Source organism: Homo sapiens, chromosome 4, assembly GCF_000001405.40.
Source record: "Homo sapiens chromosome 4, GRCh38.p14 Primary Assembly".
In the NCBI taxonomy this organism is placed as follows: Eukaryota; Metazoa; Chordata; class Mammalia; order Primates; family Hominidae; genus Homo; species Homo sapiens.
The window spans coordinates 21,005,983-21,025,548 of NC_000004.12; the positions used below are offsets into that span (position 1 = coordinate 21,005,983).

The 19,566-nt window shown below is 37.2% G+C and overlaps 1 protein-coding gene across 7 annotated transcripts in view, besides 1 other annotated feature; it reads right to left on the minus strand.

Annotated features, from left to right (window-relative positions):
* KCNIP4 (potassium voltage-gated channel interacting protein 4) overlaps positions 1–19,566 on the minus strand; it is a 1,220,167-nt gene that overhangs the window by 277,377 nt on the left and 923,224 nt on the right. The gene's annotated exons all lie outside the window — the stretch shown is intronic.
* Positions 6,804–7,098: a silencer, noted in NCBI's record as "tiled region #6369; HepG2 Repressive non-DNase unmatched - State 24:Quies". NCBI's record gives its function as "represses a minimal TATA promoter and a strong SV40 promoter by Sharpr-MPRA in HepG2 cells {active_cell/tissue: HepG2}" and the evidence as "EXISTENCE:reporter gene assay evidence [ECO:0000049][PMID:27701403]".

The following is a 19,566-nucleotide window of genomic DNA, read 5'->3' on the forward strand; positions in this document are numbered from 1 at the left end:
CTTAAAAGTATTTATGTCAATAGGAGAGCAATAGAGAGCCTTAAAATGGAGGCGATTGAAGCACAGAGAGACTACGCATCTCAACAAGGTACACAAACCAGAATTAGTAGAGCCAGAATTTGAACTCACGTCTATCTAACTTGAAAGCTGGTTAAGAGCAAATCTTTGCTATGTAGATGAAGGCACTATGCTGGGTCCTGATAAGGCAGCACCTGCCCTTAAGAAACCTGCATGCAGAGGAGGAAATGGACACTAAAGAATAAACAAGTAGATAAGAGAAATTTAGATGCTCCATAAATTCTACAAAGGAAATAAAACAGGGTAAGGTAATAGAGGCAGATTGGGGAGTTGCTTCTTGCTGTCCTCTTCCAAGAGGTAACTTTTGAATTTCTTCCCATTCTTGTAAAATTGGGCAACAGCACATACCATGTAAAAGAAGAGGACTTGCATAAGCCGTAAGATAGAAAGAAACTTGCTTTTGACCAACTGTAAATCAGACATTGCCACTCCTCATTGTAAGCTCTAGGTGTCTCTTTTTAAGGGACCATAATCTACTGGGGAAAACAGATAAGCCAAATTATATATGATGTTGTTATACATCAAGAGCTATAATGGAGATGTGTTCAAGATTCTACAGAAGCATGGAAGAATGGAAATTTGCTGTCGGTAGAATGAGTGTTTCAGAAGTAAAGATGGGAGTTAAGTTGGTCTTGAAGAAATAGGATTTTGCCCAGGACATGGGGCAGGGAATGGGTAAGTGCATGCCGTGCCTGGGAGATGTGTCTGTGTCATGTAACACAGCATGGAAGTCTGATGAAGGATGGCATTGGCAGTTGTATTGTCATGGCGGACCTAACTTGGGGTGCAGAATGGGGCATGACAGGGGATGTTCTGAACAAGATGTAGCACCTGGAAATAATTAAGCTTGGCAAGGTCTCACAATAAATTCTCTCTGTTCTTGAGGACAAATGTCACTGAAAATACTTCAAGTGAATTTCCTGGCAGTGCCTGGCTGACTTTCCAAGGTCTCTTGCTGAATAATGTAGAGGGAACACTGTTTGAGTCAGTGGTTCTCAGTAGAATCACCAGTAGAACTTAAAATAATATGAACACAAATTTAAAACTTTAAAAAAATACCCTTGAATAATTAAAATCAGCAGGTCTGGGAATGGGGATTGCACATTGGTGATTTTTAAAGATCTTCAAGTGAATGTAATAGTCATCCAGCGTTGAAAGGCACTATTTCTAGAAGACTTGGAAGGGAAACTGAGTTTTCCTGAAGGCCTGAGACACCGTATATGGCGGAACCTGTACAGAAAGAAGTCATCCAAGAAAAGACAAGGAACTGACAGGGACTGATCTTAGGACTGGCAGTGTCCATGTTCCAGGGTTTAGAAAAACTCATTTTTTAAACTGTTGTGTTTACATAGTAGATGTATATATTTATGGAGTATATGGGATATTTAGATAGACTATTGTCACCCTGTCATGCTTTCAAAAACTAGATCTTATTCATTCTTTCCAAGTTTTTTTGTACCCATTAAACCATCTTCTCTACTCTGCCCCCGACCCACCCAGCAACTTCCCTTCCCAGCCTCTGGTAGCCATCTTTTTACTTTAGAGAAAGTCATTCTGAAAGCAAAGCAAGTGAAAGAAATGTAATCTTTAGGCAACCAAGCTCTGAAGTCTAATGGTGAGATCCGAATTTAATGGCGCTCTGAATACTCCTCAGTAATTATCTCAGAAGAAAACAATGGCGCCAAAGGGAAGCCCTGATTTTGAACAGTCCCAGGTGACAGTAAATGAGAAGTAATCTGACTAAGAAACCAACGGAGAGTCATCCCTTGACTTTCTTTTCCATAATGACACCTGAAGCACACTTGTTTATTCTGTAAACTTTAGTTAAACAAATTTACCCTCCAAGACACTGGGGGTTTGCCAGAGAACAGTTAGTTTAATTGGAGCTCATCTGTTTTTGTTCCTAATGAGCCTCCCATTTCATAGCCTGCTCCTAGTTTGAAATAAAATGTCCCCCCTGTCTGGGATGATTAAAAACCTGGTTAAGCATACAATATACAGTAGCTGCCAAAATGTTTCCACCAGGCAATACTGCTCAGAACTGAGACCTGCAGGCAGGATTAGAAGAGAGAAATCTGTTGATTTTTTCCAGCTCAAAAACAAACAAGCAAAGAAATCACATCCAATTATCTGAGTTATATTTTATTAAAGAATCCACCGGAGAACTGCATTCACTTCTCAAGATTTGCTACCAAACCGTCTCCCCATTCTGTCTTTTAAACACTCCTCCACCCTTTTTGTTCTCTAGTTGGTTTGTAATTTAGAAAGTGTGATAAACAATTTTGGGGAGCCATTAAGTTTTACCAGTGTTTCTGTCTGAAATTAGGCTACTATGTTTGCCAAAGAGCTGCTCTGTGCTATAAAATCTTTATTAAAAATACAATTATTTACAAAATTATTAATACTTATGGATTAGAATAAATGTGACTTCATCTTGCAGCTATGGGCATTTTCTTTTTGTTTTTGTTTTTGTTTTTTTTTGAGACGGAGTCTCGCTCTGTCGCCCAGGTTGGAGTGCAGTGGTGCGATCTCGGCTCACTGCAAGCTCCGCCTCCCGGGTTCACGCCATTCTCCTGCCTCAGCCTCCCAAGTAGCTGGGACTGCAGGCGCCCGCCACCACGCCCGGCTAATTTTTTTGCATTTTTAGTAGAGACGGGGTTTCACCGTGTTATCTAGGATGGTCTCGATCTCCTGATCTGGTGATCCGCCCGCCTCGGCCTCCCAGAGTGCTAGGATTACAGACGTGAGCCACCGCGCCCAGCCGGGATTTTCTTTTTAAGAAACTGTAAGGTGCTAATCATTGGGTATTTCATTAGGAGACACATTTAAAAAATCTGATTCTCCAAGCACTTTGTTCTTAGACTCCCACATCCCTTTCACCCTCCCCCAAATTCAGGATCACAGGATTTCTTCTGTCTGCCTTATGTATTTTGCAAGCTAACTATTGCACTAGAAAAAAAATATCTTTCACAAATAATACAGAGGCAGATGTTTTCTGGATCATAATGATCAAATAGAGTGAGCTAAATTGCTCATTGATCTGTGATTCCTTGTCATTTGAAAATCCGATTAAAAGTGTAGAACTTTTAGAAAAGACAAATATACACACACTATTACATACATCATAACACTAAGCGTGAGGAGTGGGATTCATGTTATGAATACATAGCATTTGTTCTGGGAATAGCAAAAGGTTGATACTCAATACATACTTATCCAATGAATAAATGAGTGAATAAAATTTCAGGATGGATTTGGATGGCTTTGCAAGTGAGTGTCAATAAACCCTGGGTTCAGAGCCTCCATTATGAACGAAATAATTATGAAATTGAATTCTCCTGATTTCTTTTGGCCTTAAAGACTTTCTTTCCTTTACTGTGTTAAGGGTTGACCATCTCCTTCCTTTCCAAACAATTAAAATGTATGGAGGGCATATATGTTTGATTAGGTTTTCATGTAGAGAATTACAGTTACTTCCAGCCTGTCTCATGATTTCCTTGATGGGATATTTGGTTGTTCCTAAACTCCTCTGTAGTGCATTTAATTACTATCTCATAGTTTTCCTACCACATGTCTAATGTAATGCATTTTATTCTTACAGCTTCATTCTCAAAAGACATCATTTATCCCTTTATTTCCAAGTTCCTAGGGCATTTTAGTACATGTCTTGACAAAGGACATATCCCTTCTCTGCTGCTGGAATGGGCTGCCGCCTCTGAGCTGCTTCAGGCACGCATTCTGAAAAGACGTTCACACAGGGAAAAATTCCGTTCACCTTCCTTCTCATTCAACCGTCCTGATTTTGTCTGTGCCATTTTAAAAGACTTGTGTGCCTACTTTCTTTGTCAGCTACATCTGCCATAACAAAATACCAAAGACTGGGTGGCTTAAACAACAGGTATTTCTCACAGTTCTGGAGATTGGCAAGTCCACAATGAAGATGATGGCCAGTTTAGTCCCTGGTGAGGGCCCCACTCTCATGACCTAACCCAACCCTAATTACTTCCCAAAGGACTCTTCTTCAAATACCCTCATACTCGAGGTTAGGACTTCAACAGTAGGTCACACACTTACTGCTAATTAAGGATGTCTCTGAAAGCTGTAGGGGGTCACAGATGTCACTAACACCAAACAATGAAAAAGCACAAGGCGTCTTCTTTGATTCGTTGTTATAGGAACATGTCCACACTTCCCTCCCTCCCCTTCGCCAGTCACTGAAAGAATACAGGATGTGACTATAAAGTGATGTCTCCAATTTTTAACATTTAAAATAGAAAAGAAATTGTACATTTAAAGAAAATATGGTGCCTTTTCAAGAAGTCCCTTGGGGAACCACACTCTTAGTCTAATGACGCTTCTGAATGGCAGAGCACCTTTTTTTAATTCCCCAAAGAAAATGCCTGCAGACTTTGTGGCGTGTTCTTTCGAACGTCCGCTGCCAGGAAAATCCCTGACCTTTATGCGATGAATTTGATTTTGGGAAATAGCAAAATTGCCTTTGGAGACAAGTTTTGCAATCAAGTTAAGTGATCACACCAGAGAATTCTGCTTCAGGAACAAAACTGGGACAGATAATAGACTAATAAGATGCCTTCACCACCAGGCTTGTAAAACTTGTCTTGAGACCAATTACAATATAGACCTTTTCAAACTTATTTTTAGCAATAAGAGCATAGTATGGTTAGTGTGTAAATTAAGGTAAAAATATTGAAACACAAGATATATTTGAAAGCCTAAGTAATCCTATTTTTTAGTTTAACCTTTCCAAGACTGTCTTTGCACACTTGGATTTTTATTTGAAAATAACACCAATTTGAAATTCATACTAATTGATGCTACCACTTCAAGAGTTCATGAAACCAAGCAGTTTCAAGTGAATTTGCGTTGGATCACCCTGTCCTGAGAGTTACCTTTTGGAAAACATAACCTGCACATATGTCTCATTTATTCTACTCAATGCCTCCCGATGAAATCAGTAGCAACAATATATGCATAGTAGCGAAATAATTGGGCAAAAGATGAATCATAATTTTGATTGTAATTGGGGGCAGTGAGAGAGGAGGAGGAAAATACAGTCATTAAAAACATATATAAGTAATTGGCTTCTTTGCTTTCTTGTGAAATATGCTAGCCCCACAACATGATTCTTACTCATTAACTTTAGAAGTGCTGTTTCTACCGTATTCACTTCCTAGTGGCATTGCAGGAGATCCGTTTGCAATTTGTGTGACTGACTCAAGATTTCATACAACTCTTGTTTCTGAAATGTCTTCTGATCACTGAGTCATAAGAGTAACACTTCTCAAGTTGTTATTGTTCTGAAAGTCTTTGAAGGGTCTGGGATACTTGGACAATATTATTTCCATCGGTACTTTTCCATCCTCCTGTGTATGGTATTATTTCCAGCCAACTTTGGAAAAATAGCATTTCAACAGCTTTGCATATCCACATTGCACCTGCTTCTGGACTATAAATGATTACGTATAATTTAAATTTATAGAAAATGTTCACAGGAACCAGATCACAGGGCACATATGTGACTACTGATTGCTTCTATTTCTTATTTTCCAAGTATAAAAACATATTTATAATGAAAAGCTTATACTTGCTTTATCTCCAAATCAACAAAAATTAAACCTCTTTGATATTAGCCAGATAGACTACTCTTTCAACTTTGACCTTAAAGGACAATAATGAATCTCATTAAAATCATATTTCCAAAGTGGCTTTCAGAAAGTCTCCTACTCTTACACTATCCCCAGGTTCAACAAGTTTATTTTTGGATGCACTTAATGCTTTCGTTTCTTCTTTTCAGATTCTGATTTAATCACTTAGCTTCTGTGGCATAATCAAGACAAGTTGGATGAATTGTCTCCTAACTGGATTATAATGAAAGAAGCTCTAACTGGTCTTAACGTAGTTTCGATGTTTGGAGTCTTTCACAAAGAGAAACAAAAGCATGATAAGAATGTGCTAAGCTAATTCGAAAGGGAAGCAAGGGTGTCACAATTAAACAAGGGTGTCCAATTATATTGTTCCCATACATCATTCCACCACTCCAATAGGACATGGGCTTATAGAGAACAGAGTCAAGCCTTGTGGTTCCTGTTGTGCCCAGCACACACAGCATTGTGCTTGGTATATAGTAGGTGCTCAATAAACATTTGAATATAATTTAATCTAGGCTCTCCCAGGGAGAAAATATAGTTTAGGGTTCAAGGTAAAGAATCTCAACATGGCCAGCACAGTGGCTTATGCCTGTAATCCCAGCGCTTTAGGAGGCCAAAGCAAGAGGATCGCTTGAGTCCAGGAGTTCAAGACCAGCCTGGGCAGCATAATGAGTCCACATCTTCACAAAAATAAAAATAAAAAAATAAACTGGATGTGGTGGCGTGCATCTGTAGTCCCAATTAATCAGATTGCTTGAGCCTAGGAGGTCAAAGTTTCAGTAAGCAGTGATCATGCCACTGCACTCCAGCCTGGGTGACAGAGTAAGACCTTGGCTCGAATCAAAGCAAAACAAAACAAAACAAAAACCTCCAAAACATTTAAACATTAGATTCTCCAGATATATGTATGTTTTGTATATCGATCATTCTATGCCACAGGAAATGTTCAACCAGGATCTGGGTAACCAGATTAGTGTCACAAAGAAGGAGTTTGTAGATCACCTAGGAAGTAGAACTAAGTTATATCTAAGCAACCTTACAAATTGAAAATCTATCAGTCTTTGAAAACATATCTGTTCTATGTTTCTCACAGTCTTATTGGTGATGGGATAATGACCAGTTGGCCATGATCTTAACAGGAAACGACAATGTAATATGCTAGCCCTTCTAGGTAACATATTTACCCTGGCACAGAATGCCTTAATTCCAAGGTGTGACTCACTGTAATCCTGAGAATTACAGTAATTTGGGGGTGGAATATTATGGCCAAAGGCAATGAGCACAGAGGAAACTTCTCACTGCGAAGCTGAGAATGAACTGAAATGATCAAAAATTGAATGCTTGAAGTCTTTTAATAAATTATAGGTAGAAGGTAAACTCAGCTATTTCTGGACAGCAGGAAAGGGTCTAAACAGAGGAGGTAGCACAGACGCAGCAATGGAATGTGAATGAGTCATATTTCCACATCAGTAGGGCTATGAGGAGACCACTCTGAGATGATATGACAGATAGTGGCTGCATTCTTCAGCCCTAGGAAAAATGAAGATTGCAGGAATTAGGTTAGGAGGTGAAGACTTTCAGGGAGGTAGAGTGGGAACCAGAGGCCAGGGAGAGTGTTGTCAAGTATGCTGACCACACAGTGAACACAGAGGATACAGCTTGATGCTCCTGAAGTCATTACAGGCAGGGTTAAATTCCCCTCAGTGACCCACTGACCCCCAGACACCAGGCATGGGGTCGACCAGCTCTCTCCAGTTCTTCTCCACCACTACATAAGAGAAGAAGCCTTGAAAATGCCACCAAGCTTTTGGGCTCAGAATGAATCATGATGGAAGCTACTGCAGCCTTGACACTGGAAGGCATTTCAGTTCTGTCAACTCTTGCCTCAAAGGAATGTTCATTTCCTTTTACACAAGATAAAGCTTCTTTGAGGAGGATTTGTGTCAGGTAAAGAGGAACACTGAATAAACTGTTGTGGTGGATGTCAGTGTCTATTCTGTGCCTGAAATTGGAATTTGGGCTTAGAACTTAAATACAGGATGTGACTCAATGAACAGAGACCAGAGTTCCAGTACAAGATATAAAGAGACTTTGTTTTGAATCAGTTCTAGTATTTCTAGAAATTCTTGTTATATTTGATGGAGTGAAATCGGTAATTCTTTGAAACTCTTTACCTTGTCAGCTTCCATAGTACTCTGCTGTCCTCATTATCCCTTTACTTCTCTGAGCCTTCACAGAATCCTTCTTATCTTCCCAACTTACATAAATGTTGATGTTCCCCAGGAATCCATTCTCAGACCTCACTTTCTCTATATGAGCTCATCCATGCTGCTTCCTCCAATCATCAACCATATTCTGATGACATCTACATCTTTACCTCCAGTTCAGACTTTGGATCTTTAAAATCATATAATTGCTTCTACCTTCTAGGTCTGACTATCTCACAGATAAGCAAATGCAACATGATCAGGATTTATCTTCACATCCAAGAGGTCCTTCTACTACAAGACCACCACATGCCCCATGAAAGTCATACTAAAAACTTAGGAGGTGTCTTGAATTCTCCTTTCCCCTCAAAGCCCATCATATCTACTCTGTCAAGTCCTTTTCACATTCCCCCAACACTATTCATGGATGAGTCTCATCTTCTCCATCTCTGGAATCACCTCGCCTTAAAGGAAACATCCAAATTTATTTTTAAAATGGAAATGTACCCCTATGCCTGAATCACAGGAAAGCAATAATAATAACTGATTAATATTTCTGCATCACTTAAAGAATAACATTCAAAATCACATGTCTTTTATTATGGAAATGCAAATCAAATCACATTGAGATATTATGCAATACCTCTTAGGAAAGCTGATATCAAAAATTGGAAAGCATGAAGTGTTGGCAAGGATGCGTGGATATGGGAACATGAGTGCATGGCTGGTTGAAATGTAAAGTGGTGCAACTGCTGAGGAAAATGGTATGGTAGGGCCTCAAACAGTTAAACGTAGCATTACCATTGACTCAGCAATTCTACCTTTACGTGTGTGCCCAAAGAATTAAAAGCAAGGATTCAGATATTTGCACAGCATTGTTCATAGTAGCATTATTCACAATAGCCCAAACGTGGAAACAACGCCAATGTCCATTGATGGATGAAGGGATAAACAAAATATGGCATAATATACATACAATGGAATATTATTTAGCCTTAAAAAGGAATGAAATTCTGACATATGCTATGGCATTGATGAACCTTGAAAACATTATGCTAAGTGAAATAAGCCAGACACAAAAGGACGAATGTTGTTATTAGTTTTTCTCAGATTACACATATTTGAAATATCTTAGAAGAAGCAAATTCATAGAAATAGAAGGTAGGATAGTGGTGATAAGGAACTCTGCGGAGAGAAGAATAGAGAATCAGTGTTTAATGGGTAGAGCTTCAGTTTGAGATGATAAAAATATTCTGGGGATGGATAGAAGTGACTGTTGCACAACACTGTGAATGTAATTAATGCCACTGAACTGAACACTTAAAATGGACAAAATGCTAGAAATATATATATTATATATATTATAAAAATGGAGAGACAGAGAGAGAGGTAGAGAGAGCAGATGAGAAACAATGATACTCTATTTTTTTCTTCTCACAATTCCTTATAACTAATATTGGTTATATATATAACCACTATTCTATATATCATGGTTATATATAATATATATATTATATCATATAATATATAACCATATAATATATATTATATATAACACATTATAGATAGCACAGATGCAGCTATATATAATATATAATATATTATATTATTATAATTAATATAATATAGTATATTGTATTAATATAATATAATATAGTATATTGTATTAATATAATATAATATAGTATATTGTATTAATATAATATAATATAGTATATTGTATTAATATAATATAATATAGTATATTGCATTAATATAATATAATATATTAATTATATATATTTTTATTTCTAGATATATATTATATAATATGATATATAAATATATACAATATACATTTATAAATATATAAATATATATAAATATATACTATATATACCATATATAAAATATATACAATATATACAATATATAAAATATATACAATATATAAAAATATATAAATATATACAATATATACAATATAATATGTTTAATATATAAATATATATAAATTTTTTTTTATATATTAAAAAAGAGAGAAAGCTTACGGCATGTCAGGTACTATGCTTAAAAAATAAAAGAGTATATAAATATATATATTTATATATATCTAGAAAGAAAAAAAACAAATTGAAATTACATGCCATCTCCTACTTCACACCTCGGGCTCCAGCAGCTCTATCGTCACCTATGTAATCTTCATTTGCACGATACACCCTGTCCATATGAATTGACAGCTGACTGCCACTCTAGGACCCTTTTCTGCCTCCTTACAAACTGGATGAGGGCTTAGGTCGCTGACAATATTCCAAATATACCCTTTTATTTTTTAAGCATGGTACCTGGCATGCTGTAAGCTTTATTTCTTTTCTTTTTTTCTTTTTTCTTTTTTTTTTTTGAGACGGAGTCTAGCTCTGTGGCCTATGCTGGAATGCAGTGGCCCAATCTCAGCACACTGCAAGCTCTGCCTCCCGGGTTCACGCCATTCTCCTGCCTCATCCTGAGTAGCTGGGACTACAGGTGCCCGCCACCACGCCCTGCTAATTTTTTGTATTTTTAGTAGAGATAGGGTTTCACCGTGTTAGCCTGGATGGTCTCGATCTCCTGACCTCGTGATCTGCCCGCCTCGGCCTCCCAAAGTGCTGGGATTACAGGCGTGAGACACCTCACCCAGCCAAGCTTTCTTTTATTTTTATTTTTATTTTTTTCGGATGGAGTCTCACTCACACGGTTGCCTAGGCTGGAGTGCAGTGGTTCAATCTCAGCTCACTGCAACCTCCGCCTTCTGGGTTCAAGCAATTCTCCTGCCTCAGCCTCCAGTAGCTGGGATTAAAGGTGTGAGCTACCATACCCGGTTAACATGCAGTAGGCTTTCAGCAAACACTGAGGGAATAAGCTCATGAGAAGCAGCTATTTTTACAAATGTAAAATATTAAAATTGGAAGGAATCTTAAAGTTTAGTCTAAATTCTTAAGAAAAGTGCTATTTTGACATGGTAGACAAAATGGTGCCTTCCAGAGGCCTAATTTCCATTTTAAATTAAATAGCAGCCCCCTTTTTTCTTTTCCTTTTGCCAATTGATTCTACCATTTTATGAACTCATAGAAGGGTTAGATCTGAATCACACAATTCATTATGTCAAGTGTTTTCCAAACTTCAAGAAATCTTATCACATCTTCATAGTGCTTGCTCTACCCATGGACTAGCTGTTCAAATGTTCAAATAAGTTCATCTTCATCCAAAGCAATACTGTCAATAAAATATAAATTATTTTATCTTATTTTAAGTTCCAGGATACATGTGCAGGATATGCAGGTTTGTTACATAGGTAAATGTGTGCCTTAGTGGCTTGCTGCACCTATCAACCCATCACCTGGGTATTAAGTCCCACATGCATTAGCTATTTATCCTGATGCTCTCCCTTCTCCCAACCCCCTGACAGGCTCTAGTGTGTGTTGTTCTCCTCAATGTGTCCATGTGTTCTCATCAATCAGCTCTCACTTATAAGTGAGAACATGCAGTGTTTGGTTTTCTGTTCCTCTGTTAGTTTGCTGCGGATAATGGCTTCCAATTCCATCCATGTCCCTGCAAATAACATGATCTCATTCCTTTTTATGGCAGCATAGTATTCCATGGTGTGTCTGTACCACATTTTCTTTATCCAGTCTATCATCGATGGGCATTTGGCTTGATTCCATGTCTTTGCTATCGTCAATAGTGCTGCAAGGAACATATGTGTGCATGTATCTTTATAATAGAATGATTTATATTCCTTTGGGTATATACCCAGTAATAGGATTGCTGGGCCAAATCGTATTTCCAGTTCTAGGTCTTTGAAGAATGGCCACACTGTCTTCTATGATGGTTGAACTAATTTATATGTCCACCAACAGTGTAAAAGTGTTCCTGTTTCTCCACAGTCTCATCAACATCTGTTGCTTCTTGACTTTTTAATAATCGCCACTCTGACTGGCATGAGATGGTATCTCATTGTGGTTTTGATTTGCATTTCTCCAATGATCAGTGCAAATCACAGTTTTGATGTGGTGTTTATATATTTTTAGTACATTAAAATAAATAATTAACTAGTACAATAAAAACTCACGGATGTACCACCTAATGTCATTTTCTTGTACTACATGGTATGTAAATCATGCTTTGAAAAATCAATTTGAATGCATGATTGACTACTTTCTTGAATTATCCTCCAGGGTCCTGCATAGACAACTCTGATTCCTCAACAAGCTTTCACACTCTCTAAAAGCAACTCTCTAAACTCTCTCTTTTCTTTGTTGTCATCGTTTTATGTTTCTTAGCTCCTTGACGTTTGTCAAGCTCTCACCGTATTCAACAAGTATCTGTTGAATAGATATACTTGCTGCTTCTGAGATGGTATATATTATCTTCCCTTATAAAGTGAAAGCTATTTCATAAGGTTATAAAATTGGAAGGTGAGATGTCCATGAGATTGCACCTTGCAAACATTCAAGTACAAGGAGGCAATTGAATCTGGGTCGTGGCTCCTGTACTCCTGAATGTTTGCACTAAGGCCACACCTCCCACAGACTCTTTCAACCAATGACTGAACCTGTAGAGGATGCGATGGAAGGCTTCTCTCTAGGCAACATGGAACTCCTCTCATAGCCAACTTTGGTTTCAGAACTCCCTGAAAGATTGCTGAACCTATTGACACTGCACGGTGGTCTAGATCACTTCCACCAACTTCCCTTCCCCCTCTCCTTCACTTAGGGTCAGACTTGCATCATAATTTGATTGATTGTTCTCCCACTCTTTCTCTCCTCATTTTTTTGGAGGGATTTTTTCTTAATAAAGTCCCTGTATATATAGCGCTGACATGCTTCTTGGGATACTTGGACTAACATAGAAAGTATTAGTGAGAACTACATAAATGTTAGAGATATTTCAAGCTGAATTTGTCTATGAGAGTTTGGATAGGGTTAATTCTGAATTCAGACAGTGTTGAGTTAAATTTCTGAATTACTTAGTTGTATTAGTTTACTAGGGTTGCCATAACAAAATACCACACATCGGGTGGCTTAAACCACAGAAGTGTATTTTCTCACTCTTCTAGCAGCTAAAAATCTGAGTTTAATAAGTGTCCCCAGGGTTGATTTATTCTGAGGGCTTCCTCCTTGGCTTACAGATTATGATCTTCACCCTGTGTCTACACATTGTCTTCCCTCTGTGTGTATCTCTGTCCATATTTTCTATTCTTTTTTGTTGTTGTTGTTGTTGAGACGGAGTCTTGCTCTGTTGCCCATGCTGGAGTGCAGTGGCGTGATCTTGGCTCAATGCAACCTCCACCTCCCTGGTTCAAGCAATTCCCCTGTCTCAACTTCCTGAGTAGCTGGGATTACAGGCGCATGCCACCACGTCCGGCTAATTTTTTTGTATTTTTAGTAAAGACGGGGTTTCACCACGTTGGCTAGACTAGTCTTGAACTCCTAACCTCAGGTAATCTGCCTGACTCTGCCTCGCAAAGTGCTGGGATTACAGGCGTGAGCCACCGCGCCCAGCCAATAACCTCATATTAACGGAACTACCTCTTTAAAGACCCCATCTTCAAATACAGACACATTCTGAGTTACTGGGAGTGAGGACTTCAACATTTGACTTTTAGAGGAACACAATTTAGCCCATAGCACCACCTGAATAACTTTGAGCCAGTCACTTGACTTTACAGAGCCTTAGTCTGTAAAATAGGGGACAATATCTACCATATTATTTTGTTCAAATCAAATACAGTGACATATATAATGCCACTGGAACATATAAGGCAATCGTCATTAAAAAAAATCCTCCCAATTTACTAAAATCATTGCCATTACTTTATTAGAATTAATTTATATAGGGGTTCTATTATTCGCAGTATGTCTCACAGCTATATAAAGTAGCATTATATGATAAGGTTGAAAAGGAAGAGGAAAGAAGTATACAGTGTCTGATTGCATAGCTTCATGTTTATGATATGACAGTTCTATGATTCTGAGCCTGGCATATTTATTTAAGCTATACACCAGAGTTCAGAAATTGATAGTTAAGAGGCACATTTGGCCTGAAAATGTCTGTGATTTTCCAGAGAGTATTTTAAAAATCAGAATAGAAATGCCTTTAAATAAAGCATGCTTCTGCTGTTTTCCACAGTTTTTCATATCCCTAACACATGGTCACATTATACAGGTATAATACTTATCTAGCCCTTAAAAGCTTTTAAATGGACAATCTTTGAAGCACAGACCACAGGTTCAGAATGTACTGCTTCTATGTCCTTGACTATTCTCAAAAGAACATATTTTCTACCATATTATCTAAATTATCTGAGAAAGACACAGGTGCTGCTACATTGTTATCCTCTAGGGATGCTCACGTTTCTTCAATATCCACAAATTCCTCCTACAATCATCTAAGGCTGCTCCCCATTCCACCAGTAAATATTAATCAACAAAGTAACAAATAGTGCGATGTGCCAAGCATCTTTAGCGATATGCACCCTCAACTTCAAACAGAAACTATTTGGGATGATACTCCCTCTTCTGCCTGTAGATAGGTAAACACCCTCTGCACCCTAGATTTACCAAACTTCATGACGTACCCACCCTAAAAGGACACGATCTTCAGGGTACACAGAGTTTTTCTCTAGATGCTTGACGATATCGCCATTCTTCGGCTATATGAGCTTGCTTTTTAAAAACAATTACTTCAGGAATCTGGTATCCAGAAGAAAATAGGGTAGTTTTCAAACTTTCATTGCATTATTTTTCATGATCAAGATTATAAGGTAAATTGGAACTATTATCATGATTCACTCTTCCAGATGGTTATGCAAAGATTGAGTGAATGAATAGAGACAATTTTAAAGAAATGAATAAAATAACTTGTATGGTTAAGTAGCAAAGCCAAGGAGAAGTTGGGAGGAAGAGTTCCCAAATTGCCTTCCTGAGACTAGACAATTTGAGTAGGTCAAGAATGAGAATCTCTACAGAAACTTGCTAAGACTTTTAAATGCAGTCATGCTTTGCTTAAGGATGAGGATGCATTCTGAGAAATGTGTCCTTAGGGGATTCTGTTGTTGTGTGAAGATCACGGAGTGTACTTCCGCAAACCTAGAAGGCATAACCGACTACACACCTACACGATGTGATATGGCTTATTGCTCCTAGGCTGCAAACCTGTACAGCATGTTACTGTATTGAATACTATAGGCAACTGTGACACAATTTTAAGTATTTGTGTATTTTAACATACCTGAACATAGAAGAAGTACAGTACAAATACTATCTAAAAGTCCAAAAATAATACACCTGTATAGCACATTTACTGTGAATGGAGCTTGTAGGACTGGAAGTTGCTTTGAGTGAGTCATTAAGTGAGTGGTCAGTGAATATTACTTTATAAACATTGAAGACTTTATAATAAACATTGTACACAGAGGTTACCCTAAATTTAACTTAAAATTTCTTTGTTCAATAATAAATTAGCTTACTTGCAACTTTGTTACTTTTTAATTTTTTAAAAGCATTTTGACTCTTGTAATAACACTTAGCTTAAAACATAAACACATTGTATAGTTGTACAAAAATGTTTTCTTTCTTTATATTCTTATTCTATAAAATTTTTTCTATTAATTATTTTACTTTAAAAAGAAATTTTTGTTAAAGGCTAAGACACAAACACAACATTAGCCTAGACCTATACATGGCCAGGATCATCAATATCACTGTCTTCCACCTCCACATCTTGTCCTGCTGGAAGGTCTTTAGGGGCAATAACACCTGTGGAGCTGTCGTATTCTATGATGACAATGCCTTCTTCTGGAAGACCTCCTGAAGGGCCTCCCTGAGGCTATTTTACAGTTACCTCCCTTTTGAAAAAATAAGTAGAAGGTGTATGCTCTAAAATAATAATGAAAAGTATAGTATCGTATAGTATAGTATAGTATAGTATAGTATAGTATAGTATAGTATAGTATAGTACATAAACCAGTAATAAAGTCATGTATTATCATTAGCAAATATTATGTATTGTGCATAATGGTGTGTGCTATGCTTTGATCAGACTGGCAGCACAGTAGGTTTTTTTACACCAACATCACCAAAAACACTGAGTTATGATGTTATGGCGGCTACAATTTCATATGTGATAGTAATATTTCAGCTCCATTAAAACCTTGAGACCACCATTGTATTTTCAGTTCATTGTTGACCCAAGCATTGTTATGCAGCAAGTAAGTGTGTATTTAAGCTGCTTAAATTAATTTCAATTGCTGTTCCAATTTTCTTAGTCATTCCACATTTTGTTATGACACTCCTGACCATAGAAGAATGCAGCAAAACCTCACAATTCATAAAATCACATCAGCTGTGCACACAGATGATGTACATTTATTCTGTGTAAGCATCTTAAAAACAAACTCAAACCCATTCTTTTTTCCATTGCATAACCTTTAAGCACAATCCAAACATTTCATTTGATGCTATTAAAAAGATCTGCCGATGCAAAACCATATTATAGCCAGGGGTGGCGGGTTAATACTTCAAGTATTTTCAAGATAACTTTTACTGTTTTGGCTATATACAAGGTGGTGCCTTTGCACTGATTTTGTCACCCCTTAGCATGAGATGAAAATCCACAGGAATTTAAATCTAGAATTAGAACATATGAGCAAGAAAATTTGATTTCTTTCTGATGCATGCCAGAAATAGTATATTAACAATAATACAATAAAGGAAATTCAAAAAGTATTCATCTAATCCTTACTAAAGTTATTATCAATGAGTTCTAAACTTTATTTTGTCCTTTAAGAATCACAAATTATTTGTTTCAAATGATCCTAATCATCATCTAATGTGTCTTATACTGCTATCCTATAAGTTTTTTTGTTTTTGTATTTGTTTTTGTTCTTTGGAGATGGAGTCTTGCTTTTTCGCCCAGTCTGGAGTGCAGTGGTGTGATCTCGGCTCACTGCAACCTCCACCTCCCAGATTCAAGCAATTCCGCCTCAGCCTCCTGAGTACCTGGGATTACAGGCACACACCACCATGCCTGGCTAATTTTTGTATTTTTAGTAGAGACAGGGTTTCACCATGTTGGTCAGGCTGGTCTCGAAGTCTTGACTTTAGGTGATCCACCCTCCTTGGCCTCCCAAAGTGCTGGGATAAGTTTTTATCCCATAATTACCCCATAAAATTTGAATAAGAAAATGAATGCCTCAGGAAAGGCAATATAAAACAATGAAGACATTAACTAGTAGTCATTATAAATATAGTTAAAGACCTAAATGAAATCATGCTTATAGAAATAGAGAAAGCCATGACAACAACGTTTCAGCAAAGAGAGAATATCAATAAAGATATAGACATTATTTTAAAAAGAACCATCTGGAAATGCTTGAATTGAAAAATATAATAACCAAAATAAAAAATTCACTAGCAGAAAGTGAAAAGACAACCCACAAAATGGGGAAAAATTTTTGTAAATCATTTATCTGACATAGGACTTTTATCCAAAATATATAAAGAATTTCTACAGCTTAATAATCAAAAGAAAGATCACTCAATTGAAAAATTAAGAAAGGATCTGAATATAAATTTCTTCCAAAAGTATGCAAATGACCAATATGCACCTAAAAAGATGCTCAACATATTTAAACCATTAGGAAAATGAAAATCAAACTCACAATGAGGGCCAAGCACAGTGGCTCATACCTGTGATCCTAGTGCTTTGGGAGGCCCAGGCAGGAGGATTACTTGAGGCCAGGAATTTGAGACCCTATCTCTACAAAAAAATTAAAAAGTTAACCAGGCATGGTGGTGCACGCCTGTAGGTCTAGCTACTCAGGAGGTTAAGGTAGGAGGATCACTTGAACCCAGGAGTTTGAGGTTGCAGTGAGTTATGATCCTGCCACTGCACTCCAGCCTGGGCAACCGAGTGAGACTCTGTCTGAAAAAAAACGAAAAAAGAAAAATCACAATGAGTTAGCACTTCACACTCAGTAGGATGACCATAATGAGAAGCACAGAAGAACAAGTACTGGGAAGCATGCAAAGAAATTGGAACCCTCATACACTGTGGGTGAGAAGGGAAACGGCTTTGGAAAACCTTCTGGTAATTCCCAGTTAAACAAAGAGTTACCCATTATCTAGAAAGTAAGTGATTTTATATCATAGTTTCTGCTGCACAATTTTAATTCATTTATTTTACTGACAAAATTTAACAAATTTATTTTAGTGATAAAATTAGACAACTTAAAATAATTTGAAACCAAGTAAAGTAATGCTTTTTCCCTTGCGACGTCATTAGCTAGTACAATGAATTTTTGAGTATCAATCAGTAGTAGCCACCACTCTTGTCAACCAGAGTCCTCTCTTTAGCCAATTCTCTAGTTCAAGGCAATTAATGTTTTTGAGGTTGACATGGGAGTCAGGCATGACTCTGTGGTTCCTTCCAAACCATCAGTGAAATGTTTAATTATATTTAGTACCATGTTTTATGAAGTCATTTTATTCTTGGAATTTTGGCAAACCTTGAATCGTACTTATAGTCATTCCCCAACAACTAAAATATCTGATTTAGTCTTCCAGATATTAGAGTTTACATAAATATTTTTAAAGCTTACATTTTCATATGTATATATTTCCAATGAAACCCCTATATGTTTGAACCGTTTCTAAAATTGTCATTAAACACCCAGCAATAAGTCTATTATTCTCTGTACTAATTTGCTATACTTAGGCTGTGTAGAAAGTTTTCTTTAATGGTCTCTTCAAAATTTCAACTCCGCCCGCTGACATTTAGTGAATGTCAAGATGCTTAATACAGGGCTGTGCTTTCTGCTTTTTTCAATAGATCCTATTGTTATTGACTTATCCTGATGAGAAAATAATTCTATCTCAAATCTTAGAAAATGTATCTTTGGATCAAGTAAGTATGTTAGTTTCTTAAAGTGTCCAACCCTTCATCAAATTTTTTTCATTGATTAATTTTACAAATTTTAAGAGGAAAGGGAGAAGTGATCATCTTATTTTATGTAATATGTTTATTTGTTTAAATATGTAGAGCTTATTGAACTACATTAAAATAGAATGAGGCTGTGAGACCACATAGAACCTGAGAGGAGATTTACCAGTAGGTCAAAGAAGCTTTTACTTTAAGAATATCAATAATTTCCCAAGGCAAGAAAAATGTAAGATTTTACATGCTAAAGTCATATAGTCAGCATCATTTAAACTGCCAACTGTCACAATTTATGATTTGTCATTTAGGGTTTGTCTGACCCCCATACAGGTGAGGTAGGGGAGGAAGAAGAGAGAAGGTAGGTCCAGCTCAGATGCCTGCTCAGGTGGTCAGAACTCAGGAGATGAACCATACTGAGTAGCTGGAAGAGTTAAGAAACCTGTGTAAGGATGGGCCAATTGTCAAAGCAGTTGGAGCCAAATTCTATTCTTAGTCCAAGTGTTTAGCAAGTGACTTAGAGAGACAAAACTGCTGCCAGAAGTCAAGTGAACACCATTATGGTGCATGTAGTGAAAACAACTGAGAGAGAGAGAGAGAGAGAGAGAGAGAGAGAGAGAGAGAGAACTGCAAAAAGGTCACTCATTGATACTGTTTTT